This window comes from Homo sapiens, chromosome 8 (assembly GCF_000001405.40).
Source record: "Homo sapiens chromosome 8, GRCh38.p14 Primary Assembly".
NCBI classification, from domain to species: Eukaryota; Metazoa; Chordata; class Mammalia; order Primates; family Hominidae; genus Homo; species Homo sapiens.
In genome coordinates this window covers 27897902-27920485 of record NC_000008.11, presented here as the reverse complement: position 1 = coordinate 27920485, position 22584 = coordinate 27897902, and the positions used below count along the sequence as shown (strand labels likewise).

Sequence of the window (22584 nt, the reverse complement as noted above, 5' to 3'; positions counted from 1 at the left end):
TGTGCCACCACTCCTGGCTAATTTTTGTATTTTTAGTAGAAGACAGAGTTTCACCATGTTGGCCAGGCTGGTCTCGAACTCCTGACCTCAGGTGATCCTCCTGCCTCAGCCTCCCAAAGTACTGGGATTACAGGCTTGAGCCACTACACCTGGCCAGTTTTTAAAAATTATTACTGTTTTAGAGATAAGGTCTTGCTATGTTGCCTAGGCTGGTCTTGAACTTCTGGCCTCAAGTGATCCTCCCACCTTGGTTTCCCAAAGTGCTGGGACTATGGAATGCCAGTCCATTTGTAATCTTAACTATAATGGCAAAAATGCAAAAATGTATGGGCCTCCATTGTACTCGTGCTGTGGGCCCACAAATGATAGAACCAAGAGACCCAACTCCCTTTCTTCACTCCTGACAAACTGGTCCCCTTCCCTCCCCCAATTCCTTCCTGCTGCACTCACCATCAGAAACACCTTTCATGAAATGCACTTCTCCCACGTCATCCCCCTGCTCAAAGCCCACTGTGGCTCCCCATGGCCCACTGGATTCGTTAGAAATTCCTTAGTCTGCCATCAGCACAAATAATACCATTGCGAGCATCTAGTATGTGTTACCTACTGTGCCAGTTGTATCTCATGTGGGCATCTTTTGAAAACAATGGCTCTCCAAGGGAGTGATGTTTTCCCTATTTTATTGACAAGCACACTGAGATTTGGGAAGCTTCCATAGCTTGCCCACAGCCGCAGGGCCAGGAGGTGATGGACCAGCATTTACATGCTGGCCTTTCTGATCCCAGAGCTAGTGTGCTTCCCATTGCTTTCCTATCCTGTCCTGCCTGCCTTCTCATCCACTGCCTCTCATGCTAGGGGGCACAGAGAGAACTGCTGCAGAGGCCAGTGAGCAATGTCAAGGAGTAGAGACTGCAATGTCAGGGGAGTGTTAAGGGTTATGGCAGGTCTAGCCCATTTTTGCCAGGCTGGAAGGTGGACCCAGGTTGACAAGGTCTGCCTCTGTTTCAAACGAAACCAGAAACATGTGATGTTCTCGAGATATTTAATTGTTTAACTCAAGGGCCATACATGGTCTTGCTGTGGGTGATGCATCCAGTCTAGTGGGGCACATCTCGTCACTGCCCTGGAAGCACAGCTCACCTTCCCCACTGACAGCTGTGCTCCAGAGGCTCCTGCACCTGCAGGGCCCTCCTCATCCTCCTCCTTCACCTCTTCTCTTCCTTCTCCTCTTTCTCTTCCTCCTCCGTCTCTTCCTCCTCCTCCTTCTCTTCTTTCTCTATTCCCTCCTCCTCCTCTTTCCCCTCTTCCTCTTCCCATCCCCTTCTTCCTCTTCCCATCCCCTTCTTCCTTCTCCTCCTTTTCTTCCTTCTCCTCCTCCTCCTCTTCCTTCTCCTCCTCCACCCTTCTCTCCTCCTCCTCCCTTCTCTCCTCCTCCTCCCTTCTCTCCTCCTCCTCCCTTCTCTCCTCCTCCTCCCTTCTCTCCTCCTCCTCCCTTCTCCCCTCCTCCTCCTCTTCCTCCTCCTCCTTCTCCTCCTCCTCCTTCCCCTCCTTCTCATCTTCCTCCTCCTCCTTCCCTTCCTCCTCCTCTTTCTTCCCCTCCTCCTTCTCCTTCTTCCCCTCCTCCTTCTCCTCTTCTTCTCTCTCCTCTTCCCTTTCTTCCTTATCCTTTTCCTTCCCCTCCTCCTCCTCCTCTTTCTCCTCTTCCTCCTTCTCCTCCACCCTTTCTTCCTTCTCCTCTTCCTTTCCCTGCTCCTCTTTATCCTCCTCATCTTCCTCCTTTTCCTCCTCATCTTCCTTTTCCTCCTCATCTTCCTTTTCCTCCTCATCTTCCTTTTCCTCCTCCTCATCTTCCTCCTCCTGCTCCCCCTCCTCTTCCTCCTCCTTCTCCTCCTCTTCTTCCTTCTCCTCTTTGTCTTCCTTCTTTTTCTCCTCCTTTTCCTCTTCCTCCTCTGCCTTTTCCTCCTTTTCCTCCTTTTCCTCTTTTTCCTCCTCCTCGCCCACCCAAATCCTACTGAACCCCCCCCAACCTTTCTAGCTCCCTGAAGTCTCCCTCTTCTGAGTTTCTGCATTTATCAGAGTGAAAGTATAATGATGGGGCCCTCTGCATCCTTTCCAGTTTACACAGCCCTTTTGTTACCCTGTTTTGTTTTAAAATGGGACCTGAGGAGAATCTATGAGGTGGTTTAAGGCAGATGTTGTAGAGGGCAGGGTAGGATTTTGGCAGGAAAACAACTGAGGCTCAGGGAGGAAGTCCCTGCCTTACTCAAGGCCTCATGGCTGGTAATGATCCAGGTTTAATAAGGTGTAATTTACATGCCATGAAATACCCCCTTTTCAGGTGTACAGTTCAATGATCAGGACCTTTAAGCCCAATGCCTGGTTCTCATTCTGTTACCCACAGTCCACCTGGATCTGTATGTCTCTGTGTCCCCCAGCATTAAGAGTGCAGTGCACATAACTGAGACTCAATATTCGTAAAAGCAACTGTTAAATCTTGACACTGGACGATCAGAGGCTTCCCCTACCCAGTTTGGGTTCCTGGTCCTGGGTCACTTTGGGCCTTCACATCCCAGAAATCAAAGGAGGGAAGGAGGTAGAATTTCTTCTTCCAAACACATGCCCCTGGGATCTTAGCTTTTCCTGTCTTCTCTTTTCCTTGACCTCCCTTGCCCCTAGCAGGGATTAGTGTTCAGGAACTAACTAATAGTATTAAATAACAATTACAGTGAATTATGACCTATAATGAGGCAGGCATTTTGTAGACATGAATTCTCAAATAGACATTCAAGACCACGAATCCTCACATCCTGCAAAAAGGTCTTATTGCCCACTTTATAGATGAGAAGACTGAATAGCCTTCCCACTGTTTCTTAGACAACTGGCAGGCCGTAAAGCCAAGATCTAAATTGGGTCTGCCTGGTCCAGAAACCCTGGTTGTTGGGATGGAAGCATTTTGCTTCCGAGCTGTAAGCAGTGAAGAGAGGAAAGCGTGTTCCCTGTATTTGAGGCACTTTCCAGGCCCTTCCTCTTCCAAGCTAGAGACGTCACCATGCCTCCTGCTAATGTACCCTCTCAGACCTCCCCAGACACTTCACATCCGGGTTCTTTCATTTCTAAGTCCAATCTCCTTGGCTCAAACTGAAACTGCCCTGGGTCACTCATTTGCCATGGTTCTTCTGGTGGGATCCTCCATGTAGTCTTTCTTTGGTCCTCAAACTAAGTTTTACACTCAGTTCTGTTGAACTGAAAGTTTCATCTTAGTCCTGCTTTCTTGTCTTTAAGCTTTGGATTCTTGATGGGTGTATCCATCTGTTCAGGCTGCCATAACAAAATGCCATAGACTGGGACATTTATAAGCAGCAGAGGTTTATTGCTCACAGTTCTAGGACTGGGCAGTCCAAAATCCAGGGGCCAGCAGAGTTGGGCCCTGTTCGGGACCAGCTTTCTGGTTGATAGTTGGTGACTTCTTGCTGTGTCCTCACTTGGTGGGAGGGATGGGGCAGCTCCCTGGAGTCCTCTTTGTAAGGATGCTGATCCCATTCACAAGGGCCTCACCCTCCTGACTCATCACTTCTCAAAGGCCCTGCCTCCGGATACCATTGCCTTGGTGATTAGGTTGCAACATATGAAATCGGGGGGGATGCAAACACTCAGATCACTGCACTGGGGCTCCTGGCTCTTCACAGTTCGACAGTGCTTGGGCCTCCAGCTCTCATTATCACCACTGCATCTAGGGTCTTTCCTGCCTCCCTGTCTCTGTTGCCAGGTGCCTGGTAATTATTATTAAAAAGATTCCTGCTGGTATATCTGAACGTATTTACCATGCAGCCTTAACAGGACCAAACTCTACCCTGGCTTTTGAACAAGGGCTAGGTCACTAGAAAAGCTTCCAGGCATTCCCATACTGCTGTCTGCAGTGGCCTTTCTGCCCTAGCTTTATCTAGTTCCTCTATTAAGGTTTTTAAACACACACACATCCACACCTGCATACATACACAAATATACACACACACACATATACGCATACCTGCACATATACAGACATAAACACACATACCCATGTGTACACGTTTGCACATATACGTATACATATGCACATACAAATGTGCATGTACACACACATGCACATGTATATACATACATATGAACACATATACACATACACATATATGCACATACATATACACATACACTCACCACACTCTCACGCTTTGCTCTTTCCTGGCTGAGAAGTCACAAATACTCAACTATGTGTATTTTTTCAAATATGAGCTTATTTACATTATTCCTGAGCTTGACCCAAATGGTTTTTATTCTCTTACTTTGTTATACAGTTTTTGATGAGCTTTGTCTCCAGTTTTTCTCTTGTGAATATCTGCAGTGGGGGTTCTATTTTCTGTTTTGGATTTTTAGCATTAATCAGGTCTGTTGAAATCTGCCTGTGGGTTTGAAAGAAGCAGAGAACTTAGATCATCACAGAGGAGAAGGAGCCCAGGAGGGGAAAGGTAACCAGAGAGGGGAGGCAGCCCAGGAGGGGAAAGGTAACCAGAGAGGGGAGGCAGCCCAGAAGGGGAAACCTGAACAAAGTCACATTCAGATGGCTCTCTTTGGCAAGGATGCAGGTTTTCTGGAATCACAGCATTTGGATGGAGTGGCAATACATCTGAAATCATCCAGTCCACTCTTTTTGTTTTGTAGTTGAGGATCCTGAGGCCAGAGAGGGGAGATGATTGGCTGAAGTCACAAAACCATCCAGTGACCTGGCTGGGACAAAAAAAATACATCTCTGGATTCATGAAAACAAGTTCGCAAAGCAGATTTGTCTGTGGGCTGATTTCGTGAGAAAAAACACAATCTATTAGAGAGTCCAGTTCAGCAAATATTTATAAAGGGATGACGTCACAGAGTGGGGCTTTGGATTCCAGGCTAATGCTGGGACTCTGGTTTCTGGGTAGTAGGGACCTGCTGAAAGTGGGGAACATCTCTGAGTGGAGTGACAGGTAAAGTGGCCTTTCTGTTCTACTGAGGGCTGAGGAGCATGGCCTGGGCTGAGGTCCCTGGGACGTTGTATGGTGAGCCAAGCTCTCATATCTCCTTCCACACGGACTCTGCTGGGAAGTGGGTGGAGTTGCCCCCAGCCCCGCCCACCACCCTCCATTGGGGGCTCGGAGGACGGTAGCAAGGGCAGTCCCAGCACCTTTCTGGGCCTGAGTCTCCTCGGCTGTGAAATGGGGCTGACAGTGCCTGCCTTGTCCACTTCTCAGGGTCACAGAGAGATGCCTTAAATGATGAAAAAAAGAGACCTCACAATTGTAAAGGTGATAGGGGCTCAGAATCCAGGCCCTGGTGACTTGAGGGTACTGGAAGTGGAGCTGTTTGCTGAGCCACTCTACCCTGTCAGCCGGCCTGTGGTTAGCATGGTTCTGGGGGTGGTTTTGACTGTACTGCTGGCTCCAGGCCAGGCTCATCAGCTGTCCTCATAATTTGCTCTTGGCACATCAGTTCCTGGATTCCAGCCCACACAGGTCCCCTACCCCGTCATGTGTTCTGGGATCAGGGAAGGGAGAAGGCATGGGTTTCCCCTCATTGGCTGATCCCCAGGAAAACCCCGGTGCTTCTCCTGAATGCCTGGTCCCAGACCCTTCGTCCCACTGGGAAGATGCTTCTGGTGGGAGCAACTGCACTGAGGGGAGCATGAGGGGAGTGGGCTAGATGAGTGGACAAAGCCTGAGCAGGGACCCCAGGACCCTGCTCCTCCTTGTCCCAGCCACCTCCATGCCCTGGCCTGCCTTGGTGACAGAAAAGATGAGAAATGAGATGGTGTAGAAAGTTGAGAAGTGAAAAAGCTAACCTGGGTACCTCTTGGAACAACAGATGTCATGGCACTTCTGCTACTACACGTTAGTCATTCTTCAGATCCTGATTGTTTGCTGGGTGTGTGCAAGGCACAGGCCACAGACAGTGCCCTACAGAAGGTTCTGTCCTCCTTGGGAACCACAGTTCGAGGTGGGGGATAGTGCCCAGGGAGTGGGCAGAGGTCACCTGACCAGGCTCCGGGTGCTCCCACAGGGGCATTGTGCACGAGGATCTCCCCACCTCCTTCTAGCTCTGAGATTTGGGGGCTCTGCCCATGGTACACTAAGAGACCAGAAGGGTGGGTGTATTCGTCTGTTCTCACACTGCTAATAAAGACATACCTGAGATTGGGTAATTTATAAAGAAAAAGAGGTTTAATGGACTCACAGTCCACATGGCTGAGGAGGCCTCACAATCATGGCAGGAGGTGAAGGAGGAGCAAAGGCACATCTTACATGGCAGCAGGCAAGAGAGTGTGTGCAGAACTCCCCTTTATAAAACCATCAGACCTCATGAGACTTATTCACTATCACGAGAACAGCAAGGGAAAGACCCACCCCCATGATTCAGTTACCTCCCACTGAGTCCCTCCCACAACACATGGGAATTATGGGAGCTACAGTTCAAGATGAGATTTGGGTGGGGACACAGCCAAACCAAATCAGTGGGCATGAAGGCAGTCTCAGGACTAAGAGGGACTGGACTCTTAGGATTTGGCTAATGTTCAGGGACACTATGAGGAGAGCGTTTGTGCAGAGGTGGAGGAAAGTTGGTGACCATGAGCACCGAGCTGTAAGTTTGCAGCAGAAGGGGTCAGATCGTGAGTGATCTGCAGGGGCCTTGACAGGGGAAGCTGCACCTGTGGTGCAGTGAGGGGCCTTCCCGTGCTCTGAGTCCCTTTGGTTGCTTTGTTGTTTCAGAGAGATGGATCAGACAGCAAGGCACACATGGGCTGGAGAGAGACGGAGACAGGGAGGTTCTTATAAAGGCCAGAGCCAGGCCATAAGGACCTGACGAGGGTGGAGGCAGTGAGGAAGGAGGTGGAGACATGAGAAGGACCTTCCTTTATGAGAAGCCTCGAATCACAGATGCATGTAGCTGGAAAGGGATGCAAAAGGGGGACAGGAAAGAAGAATCAGAGCAGGCTCAAGATTTCCAGCTTGGGTTTCTGAAGAAAGGATAGTGTCAGTAAACACACTAAAAAGTCAAATCCTGAGATTGCTTCACCTACAGGCAGCATCAGTGATTTAAAGATCACTTGGTCCTCGGAGCCCCTGGCAGCTCGGCCCCTCGAGGCTCTGGCCAAATCATCAGCCCTTCTGAGTCAGCCAGGCCTGTACCACCTGAGGATGTGATGAAGGCTTGGGAATTGGTGCCCACCTTTACTGCCCACCCCACCTTCTTCCCAGTTAATCTCCAGTAAAGACCTTCATAACCACATAGTTATGTTTAAAACAAAATCCATCTGTAGCATGTTCTTGAGCCCTGCCTCTCCTTGGATGACCCAGCCAAACTCCACAGGGTGATTTCAGGTGCGCTTGGAATACCCGGAAGTTGTCATCCTATAATGGTTCTGAGGAGGTGTTATGCAAAGTGAGGAGGCGTTATGCAGAGTGAGGTGATCGGGATGGCCCCCCTCACTCAAGGCTTTGAAGCCCTTCTCTAGTCATCATGCCACTGAATCCACTCAGTCCTCACTACAACTGCACATTTAATAGAATCAGAACTTGAACCCAAGACTCAATATCCATACTCAATGCCCACCTTCCAGATGATGTCTACCACCCAGAGGCCCTACATCAGGGTCTTTGGGCAGCATCCTCCCTTGGCGAGAGTGACTCCTGGGAAGACCCCCCTGCAGGTTGCACCTGCATCTGAGGGGCAGGTGAAATTGGAGGGTGCAGTCCCTTGCATCTGTGACCAGCTCAGTTCCTGGAGCACCCGGGGTGGTGGAGGCAGAGAGGAGAGAAAGGGGTGGGCATCCAGCCCAGCAGCAGAGATCTAGGTACCCTCTCCCAGTTCCCTTTGCTGCAGCCTTGGCCTTGGCCTTAAGGGGAGATCGCTGGGAAGGGGTAGTGGAACGCATTTGCTTCCTGACTCCGCCCTTCGTTTCTGTGCCATCTTTGGTCTGTTTCCAACAGGTTCTCTAACTCAATCATGTGGTCTGAAAACTGGGATCACAAAATCTAGTCCTTCTTAAATCATCTGTATTACTTGTGAATTGAAGAATTGTTGACTACTTTTTTCCCTGCGTGCGTGCCATGGAATTATTAAATGTCTGTCAAGTTTGGTTAGGTCTGAGGACAGTGCCAGTGTGAGGGAGTTATCAGTACATCTCAATCTTGGCTGGCTGATTGTTTTGTATGTATTATTAACACCCTCTGATCTTATATACTCATTCATTCATCAAATATTTATTGTGCAAGACGTTACTGCTGGACTGTGGGTCTGTGTGTTTCGATTTCCTGGGGCTGCCATAACAAAGCATCATAAACTTGGTGGTTTAACAGAAGCTTATTTTCTCACAGTTCTGGAGACTCGAAGTCTGAAATCAAGGTATCCACAGGGCCACGTTCCCTCTGAAAGCTCAGTGGGAGGACCCTTCCTTGGCCCTTCCCAGCTGCTGGTGCTTGCTGGCAATTCTTGGTGTTTCTTGGCTTGGGAATGCATCACTCCAATCTCTGTCTCTGTTGCCACATGTGCTCTCATATCTCTGTGTCTCTGTTTTCCCTTCTTATAAGGACACCAGCCATTGCACTGAGGCCTGCCCTACCCCAATATAACCTCATCTTAACTAATTATGTCTGCAAAGACACTATTTCCAAATAAAGTCATATTCTGAGGTTCCTGGTAGACGTGAATTTAAGGGGGTAGGGACACTATAAAGGCCACTTTTCATGGTCCTCCTTTTCTTTTCTTTCTTCTTTCTTTTTTTTTGGAGACAGAGTTCCACTCTTGTCACCCATGTTGGAGTGTAATGGCGCAATCTCGGCTCACGGCAGCCTCTGCCTCCCGGATTCAGGCGATTCTCCTGCTCAGCCTCCAGAGTAGCTGGGATTACAGGCGCCCACCACCATGCCTGGCTAATTTTTGTATTTTTAGTAGAGACGGGATTTCACCATGTTGGCCAGGCCGGCCTCGAACTCCTGACCTCAGGTGATCCACCCTCCTCGGCCTCCCAAAGTGCTGGATTACGGGCATGAGCCACTACACCTGGCCCCATGGTCCTTGTTTTCTCTTGAAAAGCAGCAGGAGGTGAGAGCTTGGAGTCTGAGTCTTCACAGCAGGTATAGGGATATAAAGGGTATGGTCCTGTCTCAGGAAGCTGGCAATTTTCTTAGGAAAGATGGGACACAGTCACTATGACAAGAGGACAAGGCAGGTGAGATTACTTGTCAAATGGCACCAAGCACATGCATTCAAGCAGCTCACACTAACTTTCAGCACACTGGGTCAGAGAGGTTTTTGCAAGGAGTGGGCAGTGAGCCACCTTAGAGCTGGTAGTGACGAGGAGGTTGGCAGGGAGGGCTCATGGGCTCACTAGCTTGGGAACAGCAGGTGCGACAATGGCTGGCAAGAAGATTCTGCAACTGATGAGATGTCTAGCCCTGTGGGTGTTGCAGAGTGGACGTGGGCAGGTCACATGTGGGTTGAAACAACAGCTGCCTCACTCACTCGCCGCCTGTGTGGTCTCAGATGAGTAACTGCAGCACACGCCATTGTCATGGGGACTGTATCCAATCATGTATGACAGAATCCCTGCCACATGGGAGACCCAGCCTGGAGGGCAGCCCCACTCGGGAGAGATTAGAAACCCCTCTTCCATCCAAGTGCAAAAGCCAGACATCTGAGCATGACGCTGGCCTCTTCCTCCCCAACTTTCACCAAAGTCAGTCTCTTCTACTTCCTAAGCAGCTTTTGTATGTGTCCCTGACATCCCTCTGATGGCCGCACTCCTCATCCAGGGGTCTCACCTCCCACCTGGCTGGACTGAAGGCTCTGCCTCGGCCTCCCTCCTGTTCTCACCCAGTTTCCACACTGCAGCCTGAGCCGTCTTCCTCATGTGCAGATCTGGTTGAGCTCTTCTCTCAGGCACCTCTGTGGCCTCTGGTGCCCTCAGGAGGGGCTGAGTCCAACACTCAGGCCGGGTCTCTAAGAGCCCCACTTTCTCATCCCAGTGTGTCCCTCATCTTTTATCCCGCTGTGGCTTACTATCTCTGTCTTCATTTTCAGCCTTTGTAGGGATTGTTCCCTCTGCCTGGAACTGTCCCTTTTCACTCTTAGCCCAGGCTGCCACAACAAAATACCATAGACTGAGCTGCTGAAACAGCAGGCATTTATTTCTCACAGCTCTGGAGGCTGAAAGTCCAGGATCAGGGTGTGGCAGGGCTGAGTTGTGGTGAGGACTCTCCTCCTGGTGTGCAGACTGCTGCCTTCTTGCTGTGTCTGTTTGAGAGAGAGAGAGAACTCCCTGGTGTCTTTACTTATAAAACCACTAACCCCATGTGGGCTGACCCCCGTGACTTCATCAAAACCTCATCACCTCCCAAAGACCCCACCTCTTAAAACTGTCACATTGGGGATTAGGGATTCCACATATGGTTTTGGGAGGGGACATACATATTCAGTGTGTGTGTGTCCCTCTCCCACCCCTCTGTTTACTTAGCTAACTCCTGTTTCTCTTTGAGATTTCACTTTGGATATTACTTCTTCCAGGAAGACTTTCCTGATGCCCCCCGAGACTGGGCTGGGGGTTTCCTGTGAGTTTCCAAAGCTAATGCTGCCCCTTCCTCTCCTCAGAGAGGGCGTTTTGTTTCCTCTACAGATGACCTGGTCCTGTTTCAGAAGGGAGCCCCCTAACCTCAGTGCTGTTTTTGCCTTTCCAGGGCCACCGGGACCCAAAGGTGATCAGGGGGATGAAGGAAAGGAAGGCAGGCCTGGCATCCCTGGATTGCCTGGACTTCGAGGTAATGAGCGTGCCCCTGGGTGGTACCTGGGAGAGATCCCCAATCCATCTCTACCCGCTACTTTCTTGATGGTATAAATGCCAGGGCTCCCCAGGGGAGTGCCCAATCAACTCCGCCTCAAACGCTCTGTTCCAACAAGAGACTAAGAGGTTGCTGGTGTCACGGTGGGATGCAGCGCATACTTTTCCTTAGCAAGTGCCACAGTCTGAAGGAAAAGGTACAGGACAGGCCTGCAGCTCCCTGAAGCCCCTTCCCAGCCCAGGAGCCAGGGTCTGTGTGAGCAGAGCATGCAGAAGGAGTTGGAGATGTTTTGAGATCCAGACCAACCCTTTGAAGATGCTGTCCCATCAGTGTTTCCTGATCACTAGCTACCTGCCACCCTCCCGCCCCACCATGACTCCTGCTGACCCTGCCCAGGTCTACGAATGGGTCATGAATACCTATCCCTTCCTCTTTTGACCCGTCCCCTCCCCATCCTGCTGCACATAGTGACAGCCCTGAAGAGCCAGTGGCTGGTGGGTAGGGTACTTTGGGCCTTCTAGAAAGACAAGGTTCTTCTTAGACTCACTGTCTCCCAAGCTCCCGTTGAGTTCCTTCATTGTACCTTGCCTGCCAGTCTGTCCATTCCTGAGCCTGTGCTGCTTGCAACATTTTGCTGGGAGACTGTTGTCTTCTAAGTGATGGAAGAAAAGGAAATAGAGGGAAAAAGGTGTCTGGTTATTTATTTTAGGAATTATACCTCCAAACCATCTGCTTCCTAAATCTCTAGGATGTTGCAAACACAGTAGAGGAGACAGTGCCTGGAGGAAGGAAAGCTCCCAGCCCAGTCTCTACTCCTGGCCCTCCCCTCTCAGGGAACCTCCCTAAAGTCAGCACTGAGGCTGCTCAGGGGCTCATGGGGCTCTGGAACTGCATTTTCTGCCCTAGCGAATCATAAGATGGGGAGCCTGGGGCACAGCTTGTGCTAGATCAATAATTCTGTGGCAGTGGAGCTGTTGGACTCTGGGAACAGATATGTTGTATTAGGAGGGAAAAGGAGGAAACCCAATCAGCTCTCTCCGAGAAACCTGTCTTCTTCCAGCCATTGGACCTTCGGACTAGAGGAGTAATTCATTACTGGGAGACAGATTTCTCTGAGTCCCAGAAAAAGCCCAAAGCAAACCAACTCATATTCCAAGCAGGAAAGAACAATTAGTCAGTTAATTAAGGGTGCTCTGCTTTGCAGAGATAACTACACGCTTAGGCCAGGCCTCATGGGGCCAGGGCTCTCACTCGGTCAAGGACTTGTTTATGCTGGCTCTGCATGGCGCCGGCACCGTCACCGCAGGAGGTGGCCAAGGGGCCTCATGGCCAAGAGCCCTGGGGCTTGATTGGCAGCAGGCCATCCATTTACTGACCTCGCCTCCAATCCCTTTTGCTATACCTCCCTGTGTGTATGCAAGGGAAGGGATCTTTTTGTGTTTTTTTTCCTTAAATAAAACGAGAAGCTACTTTTTCTTCTTCCCACCCCGCTCCCTAAGTACCAGTAAGCCCTGTTGATCAGCATGAAGCGATGCTGACCGACCATGAACTCTCATTTCAGCAACAGCAGGGCTCAGATCCTGCCTCCAACACTGCTGTGTGACCTTGGGCAGTTACTTAATCTCTCTGAGCTCCGATTGGCTCATTTGTCTAACACAGGCAGAATAATCCCTCCCAATGTCTTGTGATGATTAAATGAGATACTTTATGAAAAGCATCCAGAGCAGGGCCTGGCACGTAGAAAGCACTCAAAAAAGTGTTTGCTGATTCTAGGCTGGACGCGGTGGCTCACGCCTGTAATTCCAACATTTTGGGAAGCCGAGGCAGGCAGATCACTTGAGGACAGGAGTTTGAGACCAGCCTGGCCAACATGGTGAAACCATGTCTCTATTAAAAATACAAATATTAGCTGGGCGTGGCGGCGTGTGCCTGTAATCCCAGTTACTCGGGAGGGTGAGGTGGGAGGATTGCCTGAACCTAGGAGGCGGAGGTTGTAGTGAGCCGAGATCGTGCCACTCCAGCCTGGGTGACAGAGCGAGACTTTGTCTCAAAAAAAAAAAAAAAAAAAAGTGTTTGCTGATTCTAAGTCTCCAGCATGCTGAAGGGCAAAGGGACACCCCCAAAGGAATAGGCACCCCCACCGTCACTCACAACAGCACTGGACCTTTCTAGCAGGAGGATCCCAAGCCTGATGGATACAAGGTGTGCATGGGAGGGTCCATGTGGACCTCTTTGACTCTGCTGTGGTGGCATCTTTAGATTAACAGAAAAAAGCCAGACACAGAGGCTAAGAGAGGATGCATGGGGGAGGCTGAGCCTTGAACCCGACGATGACCTCTGAGGGTCCTTCCTGTTCTGCATCTGAGGCTCTGCCATTTGTCTGTTTTCTCCCCAGGTCTGCCCGGGGAGAGAGGTACCCCAGGATTGCCCGGGCCCAAGGGCGATGATGGGAAGCTGGGGGCCACAGGACCAATGGGCATGCGTGGGTTCAAAGGTAATAACAATCTCAGTTCTCCCTGAGCCTCACCACCAGTCCCAGGCAGCACATGGGCATTGGCATGGGGGACCAGGACTCTTATCTTCACTGTGCCACGGACCAGCGGGGCAACCTTGTACAAGTCTCTTCATCTTGTTAAAGCATTTAGTTTTTCCTCCAAAAACTAGAAACCCTCAGCCAGGTGTGGTGACTCATGTCTGTAGTTCCAGCATTTTGAGAGGACCAGGCAGGTGGATTGCTTGAGCCCAAGAGCCCCATCTCTACAAAATATAAAATAATTAGCCAAGTGTGGTGGCACTTATCTGTAGTCCCAGCTACTTGGGAGGATGAGTGGGAAGGATCTCCTGAGTCCAGGAGTTGGAGGCTATAGTGAGCTATGATTGTGCCACCACCCTGGGTGACAGAGCAAGAGCTCATCTCTAAAACAAAATAAAACACACACACAAAAATCTAGAAATCCTCATGATACTATATCTCACAGGGCTGTCAGGAGGAGTGAGCAAGCACGTATGTGTGCAAATGCTAAAGTCCCTGTAGAAATGCAAGGGAGTGTTATGGTAGGTTGCAGCCCAGAGATGTAACCAGAGAAAGCCAACAAGGGGCCTGCAGGGCAGACACCAGGGCTGCAGGCCCAGGACAGCCCTCCTCCCTAGTCCTGCCAGACTCCTGACCTTCTATATACTCTTTTATTCCCCCAGGATTTACAATTTTAATTCAATTCTCAGATTTACAGTGCCAAAAATGTTCCTTCTGATTTGCTCTTCTTCCTGTAGGCAGTCCCCTTGTTTACGTTAGGGGAACCTACTTTTACAGTCAGTCTGTCTTTTCATGCTCGCTTCAAGATTGTCTAAGCCTCGTAGCATCACTGCGGAAGACAAGGACATCTGATGCTCTTTCCCCAGGCTTTCTACTCCTCACTTGTTAAAATGAAAACTAAGAAAAAAGTACTGCTAATCATTCCCACTCCATGTCTAGGGTGATCTCTTGATCTTAGATCACTGAGAAATTTTATTTTACTTTCTGGTCAGTGATGAAACAGGCTGAGGTTTTCCTTCCTTTTATGATCCCATTTTAAAAAGTTGATTTTAAAACAGATTGTAAAAGCAGCACATGCTTGTTGAAAATAAAATTAGAGACTGGGCAAGGTGGCTCATGCCTGTAATCCTAGCGCTTTGGGAGGCCAAGGCAGGCAGATCACTTGAGGCCAGGAGTTCAAGACCAGCCTGGCCAATATGGCAAAACCCCATCTCTACCAAAAATACAAAACTTAGCCAGGCATGTTGGGGCACACCTGTGATCCCAGCTACTTGGGAAGCTGAGGCAGGAGAATCACTTGAACCCGGGGAGTGGAAGTTGCAGTGAGCTAAGATTGCACCACTGCACTCCCGCCTGGGCCTGGGTGACAGAGTGAGACCCTGTCTCAAAAAAAAAAAAAAAAAGAAAAGAAAAGAAAATTAGACAACACAGAAGTGCATAAAGCAAAAAGTCTCCACCCCTCAGTTCCCCCAGCTCTTATTCTTTAGAATAACTACTGTCAATGCTTTGGAGCACACCCTGCCAGATCTTTTTCTGAGCATATTCCTATATATGTATATGGCTGCCTTTTTTTTTTCCCCCCCCCAAATCTTGGATCATCCTGGGCATTCTCCCCTGGAATTTGCTGGCTTGATTTTTTCACCAGACAGCATGCCCATGGGCTTTTGATTGGCAGATGTCTTTCTGGGGGTCCTTGGAATAGAAGTCCCTTGTCATTTTAATGTCCAGTGAGTGGTGCCAGGATTTTCTACTTCTTTGTAGAGGGAGATGCCAGCTGGCCAAACAGGTCTTCTTTAGCCATATCCTGGGAAGGAAATGCCACAATTCCCTGGTATCTCACACTTATGTTTTATGGTCTCTCCCACAAGAAAACCTGCTCAACATAGAACCCGCCTCTCCCCCTATTTAACTAAAGCCCCCTCTCCTTTGTTTTCCCCTGGGCTCATTAGAACAAACTTGGATGTGGACCTCTAAAACCTTGAGTGTTTAATAGGACTATCTTTGACTTGTCTTCTTCCTGCAAAATTCCATGTGCTCTTTGGTTCTTTACAAACGGGTGGGATTTTCTCACTCATGCCTCCTCCTTCTTGGGGTACCCAGGGCAGATGGCAGAATTGGCTGCCCTCTTCTCCTGCCTGCTGGGCTCTCCAGTTGCTGCTGGCTCCTGCCTGAGGGTTTCTCTGGTCTCGAGTTCATCAATCTCCTGCAGGTAATATTTTATTCACAATTAGGATTTCTTTCCATTTCTAATGCCAGTTTCCTCCTCTGTTTTAGGTGACCGAGGCCCAAAAGGAGAGAAAGGAGAGAAAGGAGACAGAGCTGGGGATGCCAGTAAGGACATTCTGCTGGGGCCGTGGGATATGGTGTTGGCACAGGGCTAGCTGTCCCCCAAGCAGCCCCATAAGTTTGGAGGTTCAGAGGCTGGAGCCATGGCTGGGGCTCAAGTGTCAAAGGAGGCTCCCTACCTTTTTTAGGGCTCTGCTGGTCTAGCAAGAGATGCTGATAGACCCCAGGGGCACTGGCCACATTTCTAGAGGTGTCATAAACCTGGCGGTTGTGTGCATGGATCTGGAGGCTTCCCCCGGTCACTCGCTAGCCCAGCTGGTATAATCTCTGTGCCTCAGTGTTCTCATCTATAAAATAGGGATAACAGGAGTCTTTACCTTATAAGGTCATTGTGAAAATTGAATGAGTTAATCTGTGTAAAGTGCTTATGATCATGCTGGACACCTGGTGAGGACTCAGTACCTGTTTGTGATTATTATTCTGTGTAATACACCCACTCAGACACGCTTCCTAAAATCATCAGAGGTGCTTGCACAAATTCAGCTACTGACCTTGTTAAAGGCCTCCCCTCCCTGGGTGTTACACAGGGAAAGGTGCAGAGACAAAGTGGCATCGCCTTTGTTTTCCCCATTTGCCACTGATGGAGGAGTGACGCTGGAGAGCTTGCGATCCGGCAGACCACCCTGTTAGTAATGGGCATCTTTCTGATGCGGTCCTTGCTAGAATGTTGACAAGGGGATCAGCTTATTTAGTTGTGCCACTCTTCTAAGGTTTACTTTTCCCCTAGAGAGGGCTACATGTAGAATCTTGGAGACTTGCCAGAGAAGAATGAACAGAGTCTCCTAGCCAAGTTTAAAAAGGAGCAAAAGAAAAAACACCAAACCCAGCATGTGGTGTTAGTTGGCTCTGTCCCACGTGAGGGCGCAAGCAGAATATCACTGCCTCTGGCATCTAGGCTCCGGTCTTGGCTCTGGGAGGATGGGGCCTGGGGAAAGAGTCCCTGTGTTAATAGCTTCCCCCCGGACACTCAGGGACAGGGGCCACTGCAGAGTCACAAGCTGGACACAGAAAGGGGTCTCATGACACCCAAATAAATCAAAGACTATCAGCCCCACCAAAATTCAACGCAATACCACAACCTACAGCACCACTAATAATTAGCCATAGGCCTCCATAAATAGGAGAAGGTTTCGAAGAGAAACCTACAAATCCTACAACCAAAAGGACACTTAAAACAAATAGAGCATATGCCATTATTCCCACATGGGCGATAACCATGACTAATGACATGAAAAATTATTGTTGTGCTTCAACTAGAAGAACACTAATGGCCAAGACCTGCAAAACACACCCGCTAATAAAAATTATTAATTACTCATTCATTGATCTTCCCACACCATCTAACATTTCTATATGATGAAACTTTGGCTCACTTCTTGGTGCCTGCCTAATCCTCCAGATCATTACACGATTACTCTTGGCCATGCAGTACACATCAGACACTTCAACTGCCTTCTCTTCAGTTGCTCATATCAGCTGAGATGTAAACTACAGCTGAATGGTCTGCTATTTTCATGCTTCCTTGGTCTCACTAGGTCCTTCAGATGAGATCAAGCACACTCAGGATGGTATGGTGCAGTAGGCCCTTCACATCACACTTTAGTCCCAGCTGTGCAGGACCAGAAGGAGACCTCACTCCCAAAAAGAGGCCTCCCCAAGGCCCCCTGACACTTAAACTTGCCCCTGCTTTCTCTCTGCCCTGCCCTCCCCTCCCTGAGGCATGATTCAGGATCAAATAGGAGCAAGGCAGGTGACAGCACCTTGTCCTTGAAAGTGATGGACTTGCCCGTAGAAAAACAAGGAAATGCCCAGGCTGATCCTGGACCCCCCACACTCACCTCACCTGAAGTGCTAAAGTCCACAAGGCCATCTGCGAGCTTCACAGTACTTCTAGCATTCTCTAGAGTCCCTTTCCAGGGCTGCTTAACTGGGTGTGTCTGACTGAATGAGGCCATCTAGTAGACCTGATCTGATCCCTTTTGTCTAAAGGGCTGGGTCCTGAATGCTGTCTTCGGGGTGCTGTTTTTCCCTGCTCTGTTTGTTGACTGGTTTCTGACAGAATGCTGCCAAGGTAGCTGAGAAGGATCGTGGCATTTAGTTCTGAGAAATAAACAACTCCTGATGGGGGTGGGCAGGAAGGGAGGAACTATGTGGAAAGATGGCTTTGAGATCAGAAACACTGCCCGCATGCCAGAGGGGCTCTTGTTGGGAATTCTCTGGTGGCTCTTCTTTCAGCAGACTTGAGAGAGCAAGTGAGGAGGTCGAGCCAGCAGGGCGTTCCCCATGCTGTGGAGGATGCGTGGTCTCTATTCACCTTGCTCCTGTGGGCCAGGCTGGTGGGCTCTGTACTGGGGTTGGGCCCTGAGGCCAGAGCTACGGTGCAGGGAGGTGAGAGCCAGAGCCACAGGGGTGCGGGGCTCCCTGGGGATGGGTGGGGAGGCGTGGGGGGAGGCCACCCCCTCCACTTGGCCCTGGAGCCTCTTGACTGTACAGCAAGAGGTGACATCAGCTCTGGACAGCCTCCCCTCAGGGACTGAGGCTTTCTTTCCTGCCTCGAAGAGCTACACCCTCATTGCAGCCCAGAACTCAGACAGAACCCAGAGCCTAAGCTTGCACAAAGCGCTGAACTTTTCTTTCCTGCCCTCTGACAAGACCCCCACCCCCAGTAGTCTCCAGAGGCAGTGAAATTGGGAGGTGAAGGGGCTGAGCAGAGACAGCTCCATGAACAGGAAGCTCTACACAACATGAGGAGGACTCTGGGAGACCCAGAGGAATCGTAGAACAAAGAAACTGGGAGGCCAGCCTCCATCTCCCCATTTTCAGAGGCCCATAGGGGAGGACGGACTTCCTCACGTCCTTAGGCCAGGGCTGAGGCTGAACAAAATCCCCAGCCGCTGACTTCCTGACCCTGGGATGGGGGCTTCGGCCCCTGGTCTTGGGTAGTAGGGCCGGGCTCCTTAAAACCCCAAGTAATCCCCTCTTTCACTGGTAGCTCCAGATGCAGATGTAAGGACCTTGGGGCTGGAGGGGAATAGTTGTCACGATTCAGGGCTGAGGTCTGTGCCTGTCCCATTGCGGGGTGTCTTCCCACAGCCTCTGCCCACCAGCTTGCTCTGACCACAACAACATCAAGCTGTATTCAGCCTCCTGCTTATGTTTCCAGGGAATTCCAGTCCCAGAAGCATTAACCATATCCCTGAGACCCGGGCTCTGTGGGGGAGAGCCAAGGCTCAGCTTTCAGAAAAGTGTGGAAATTCTGACAGACATGGTGCCCATGTCTGAGGGTTTCTTAGTCATTCCCTGCGCCCTGGGAAGCCCCACCGTAGGATCTACGGGGTGGGAAAAAAGCGTTTGCAGCACCGGAGAGCTACCCTCCTCCACAAGCCAACATCGTGCGGGAAGAGCCGCTAACCAGGGTGGCCTCTGCTAACCCCGAGGCCTTTCAACCTTCCCAAACACCTCTGAAGCCCGTGCCGTTAGCAGCAAAGACCTGAAGTTCCAGCAGATGGGGATGTAACTGTGCAAAAGGGACTGGTGAGAAAACATGACCGACACCCCTCACTAGGGACGTGGAAGTTGGGGGTTTTCCCTGGAGGAGGGCATGCCACAGAAGGCTTCTCAGGACCCATCTGAGTCCACATTAAAATATTTTTCAGAACAAAAATCTTGCCATTGTTTACCCATGTTTTGATCTGAAGTCATAGGATTTTAGGGTTGGATGGGTTTCAGACCCATTCCTCTCTCTCGCCCAACCCCACCCCACCAGTTTTCAGAACAGAGACCAACAACAGAGAGATGAGAGGAATCCCCAAAATCACCCAGCCTAGGTCACGGCCAAATTGGGTCTAGAATCCAGATGTCCCGATTTCTGCTTGCTGAGAGATAAAGGTTTTTTTCAGTCAAGGGCAATATCAGTCATTCCGTGACATGTTTGGCTTTTGGGAGTTTGGCCAGGAAAAAAAAAAAAAAAAAACCCGCTACGTATACATATCTCAAGAGAGAAATACATTTGTTTTACCCTAGTAGATGGTCCATTTGCAGGAAAAATAAATAGTGTTTTTGCAACTAAGGGGTGGGTGAAGAATTCAGGTTTTTTTTAAGTCCCACAGCATGAATTTAAAGCAGGATATAAGTTCAGATTGTTTAAAAAATCTTTCTCAATTTGGTTTCATATGGAAAAAAAATATGCAGATGACACCAGGGTGAATTCTAAACCAGAGTTTGTTGATGGTTATCATTCATGGCTTAGAGCACTTGAAAAATGTTTAACACTTCGTACATGTTTTCAGTATTTAGGGAAGTAAGTCTGGGGACGAGGGGAGCTGTGGGCACCCCAGCATGCAGTGTAAACTCAGAATAAATAATCAGAGGAGGAAGTTTCTAAACAGTTTTCCCTGCAGCTGCTGAGATGTTTCTGTCTCTGTTTTACAGTCAAGGAGGCAGAATCCTTTGGAGTCCTCGGACTCCCTTCTCCCATCCCTGTGCCTAGACTTTGCTGTACCAGGTGCCCGGGAGAATCTGTTTAGGATAATGGAGCACCAAAAGTTAGCCTTATCTCAGGCATGGAGAGACACAGCGACTGCACCTTTTTTTGTTTGTTTTTTGTTTTTTTGGTTTTTTTTTTTTAGATGGAGTCTTGCTCTGTCACCCAGGCTGGAGTGCAGTGGCACGATCTCGGCTCACTGCAACCTCCGCCTCCTGGGTTCAAGTGACTCTCCTGCCTCAGCCTCCAGAGTAGCTGGGATTACAGGTGCATGCCATCATGCCCAGCTAATTTGTGTATTTTTAGTAGAAATGGGTTTTTACCATGTTGGCCAAGCTGGTCTTGAACTCCTGACCTCAGGTGATCTGCCTGCCTCGGCCTCTCAAAGTACTGGGATTACAGGCATGAGCCACCGTGCCAGCTGACCCAAGTCTTAAAGAGTAAGTTCATGTCCACCAGGTGGATGTGGAAGTTGAATGTGTCCCAGGTAAAGAGAACCATGCTTGAAACAGCATAATGTTGTCTGATCCTCCCAAATAGTACAGCATGGCAAGGGTTTGGGATGTAAGAGACAAAAAATAAGCCTGGAAAGGAAGGTGGGGATAACCAAGGGCATTGCAGTGGTCAGGAGTTTAGGCTTGAGCCTCTGGGCACTAGGAAGCCATCCATAGGATTGTAATGGCGGAGCCTTGGCTGTCCCTGGTGGCCCTTTGCACATGACCAATGCCTCGTGCGTGGTAGACAGACCCTTCCTCTCGGGAAAGGCCACGTTCCAAATCCAAGTTTCTCTTCTGCTCCTGCTCCTTCTCTTGTCTGCACTTCCACTTTGAGAAAATCCTGTTTTTCAGAAACATTTCCTGAGAAGATGCGACCCCAACTCTATGCAGTTCTGTAGGAGCAGAGCTGGTGTGGAGCAATGAAAATGAAGATTCATTTCCCCTGCTCACTCCCACACTGGTGACCCCAACTGTGCAGGTGTTTTGCACATTGACCAATGCCCCAACCCCAGCTGGGTGTCCCACTATTCAATTCCATTCTGACATAATCAACCTGGAGTTAGTGAAGACCCCACAGGGTAAGGGCTCAGTCCCACAGGCTGCCCCTGACTTCAGATGAAATCTCAAATCCAAGCTTCCAGAACATATAAGCAACTGGCTGAAAGTCAGAGATTCCCTTTAGACCCCCTCCGTGGGTTTGATTATTTGCTAGAACCCAACTCACAGAACTCAGGAAAAGTTAGGTTCATCAGTTTATTATAAAGGACACAACTCGGGAACAGAGGGATGGGAGAGATGCAGAGGGCCAGGTATGGGGATGGGGTGCAGAGCTTCCCTGCCCTCTCTGGGCACGCCGCCCGCCAGGTACCTCGATGTGTTCTGTGTTCAGCACTGCACCTCTCTGAACCCTGTCCTTTTGGGTTTTTATGGGGCTTTCATTACATTAGCATGACTGATTAAATCACTGGCCATTGTTACTTGAATTCAATCTTTGCAGCCCCTCTCCACTTCCAAGTGGGGCTGAATGGTCCAACTTCCTAATCACGTGGTTGATTTCCCTGACAATCAGCACCTCATCCTTCGATCCCACCCAAACTCAGGTATGGTTGGAAGGGGCTTACTATGAATTTTAAAAAGATGCTCCAGAGCTATTTCAGGAGTAGGGACAAAAAGCAAAGTTTCTCACAAGAGATGCTCCTGTCACTCTTATCGCTTAAGAAGTTACAAGAGTTCTAGGAGCTCTGGCTGGGAGCTGGAGATGAAGACCAAATACTTCTTATTATATCTGTATCACAGTAACAAATCTTAAATCCAAGTCCTGTTTTCACCTCACTGGCTGTGTGGCCCTGAAGCTAGTCGCTTAGCCTCTCCGGCCACAATTTCCTCTTTTTTCCCCGGTTCTGTGCAGAGGATGGGATCTGGCCTTCCAGACATTCTGGTTTGCCAAGATCCCATCTTAAGCCTTCCAAAAACAAATCCAGTGACTCTTCCTGAAAGCTCCCAGTGACCCCTTCCATGGGAGCTTCTACACTGCTGTGTGCAGAAAACAGTTCAATTCCGATTAATCCATGCTGTGAGTGGTTTGATGGCTTCACATACATTCAAGAGGACCTGGAAAAATTAAAGGCCTGGCCCCTTTAAGAAGTCAAGTGGTAAAATAAGGATGTGCAGAGGCGCCTGCGAGTCAGGGACAGCTGAGCTCGTTGTATTACTTTCATCTCTTTAAAAGATATTTTCAGCATCCCTGGCCAGAGGGAGAGAGACCAGAGCTGGGCCCGTGCCCTGGCAGGGAAAAAATGCTTAGGCAAGGAGAAATGAAGCCCCTCTTGGGAATCCTAAGAGGTCATTAACAGGGCCACTAATATTTGTATTCTGGATATA

At 49.5% G+C, this 22584-nt stretch overlaps 1 protein-coding gene and 1 long non-coding RNA gene across 8 annotated transcripts in view; one reads left to right on the top strand and one right to left on the bottom strand.

Annotated features, from left to right (window-relative positions):
* The window catches only part of SCARA5 (scavenger receptor class A member 5), a 122791-nt gene that overhangs the window by 72188 nt on the left and 28019 nt on the right, over positions 1–22584 (top strand). For 3 of the 4 annotated variants that reach the window (NM_001413201.1, NM_173833.6, NM_001413203.1), the window contains 3 exons: positions 10743–10823; positions 13240–13338; positions 15652–15708. In NM_001413201.1, coding sequence (NP_001400130.1) covers positions 10743–10823; positions 13240–13338; positions 15652–15708 — 237 coding nt within the window. Of the gene's footprint in view, positions 1–10742; positions 10824–13239; positions 13339–15651; positions 16125–22584 lie in introns of those variants that run through there. The other variant, NM_001413202.1, reaches the window with a different exon arrangement.
* On the bottom strand, positions 10171–17813 carry LOC105379342 (uncharacterized). 4 transcript variants are annotated; one of them, NR_188145.1, is made up of 3 exons: positions 17562–17813; positions 11428–11496; positions 10171–10302 (listed from the first exon to the last, which is right to left on the bottom strand). It is a non-coding gene; the product is annotated as an uncharacterized LOC105379342 (long non-coding RNA). The 4 variants fall into 4 exon arrangements; NR_188144.1 differs by having other exon boundaries at positions 11392–11496; positions 17567–17813; NR_188147.1 differs by lacking the exon at positions 11428–11496.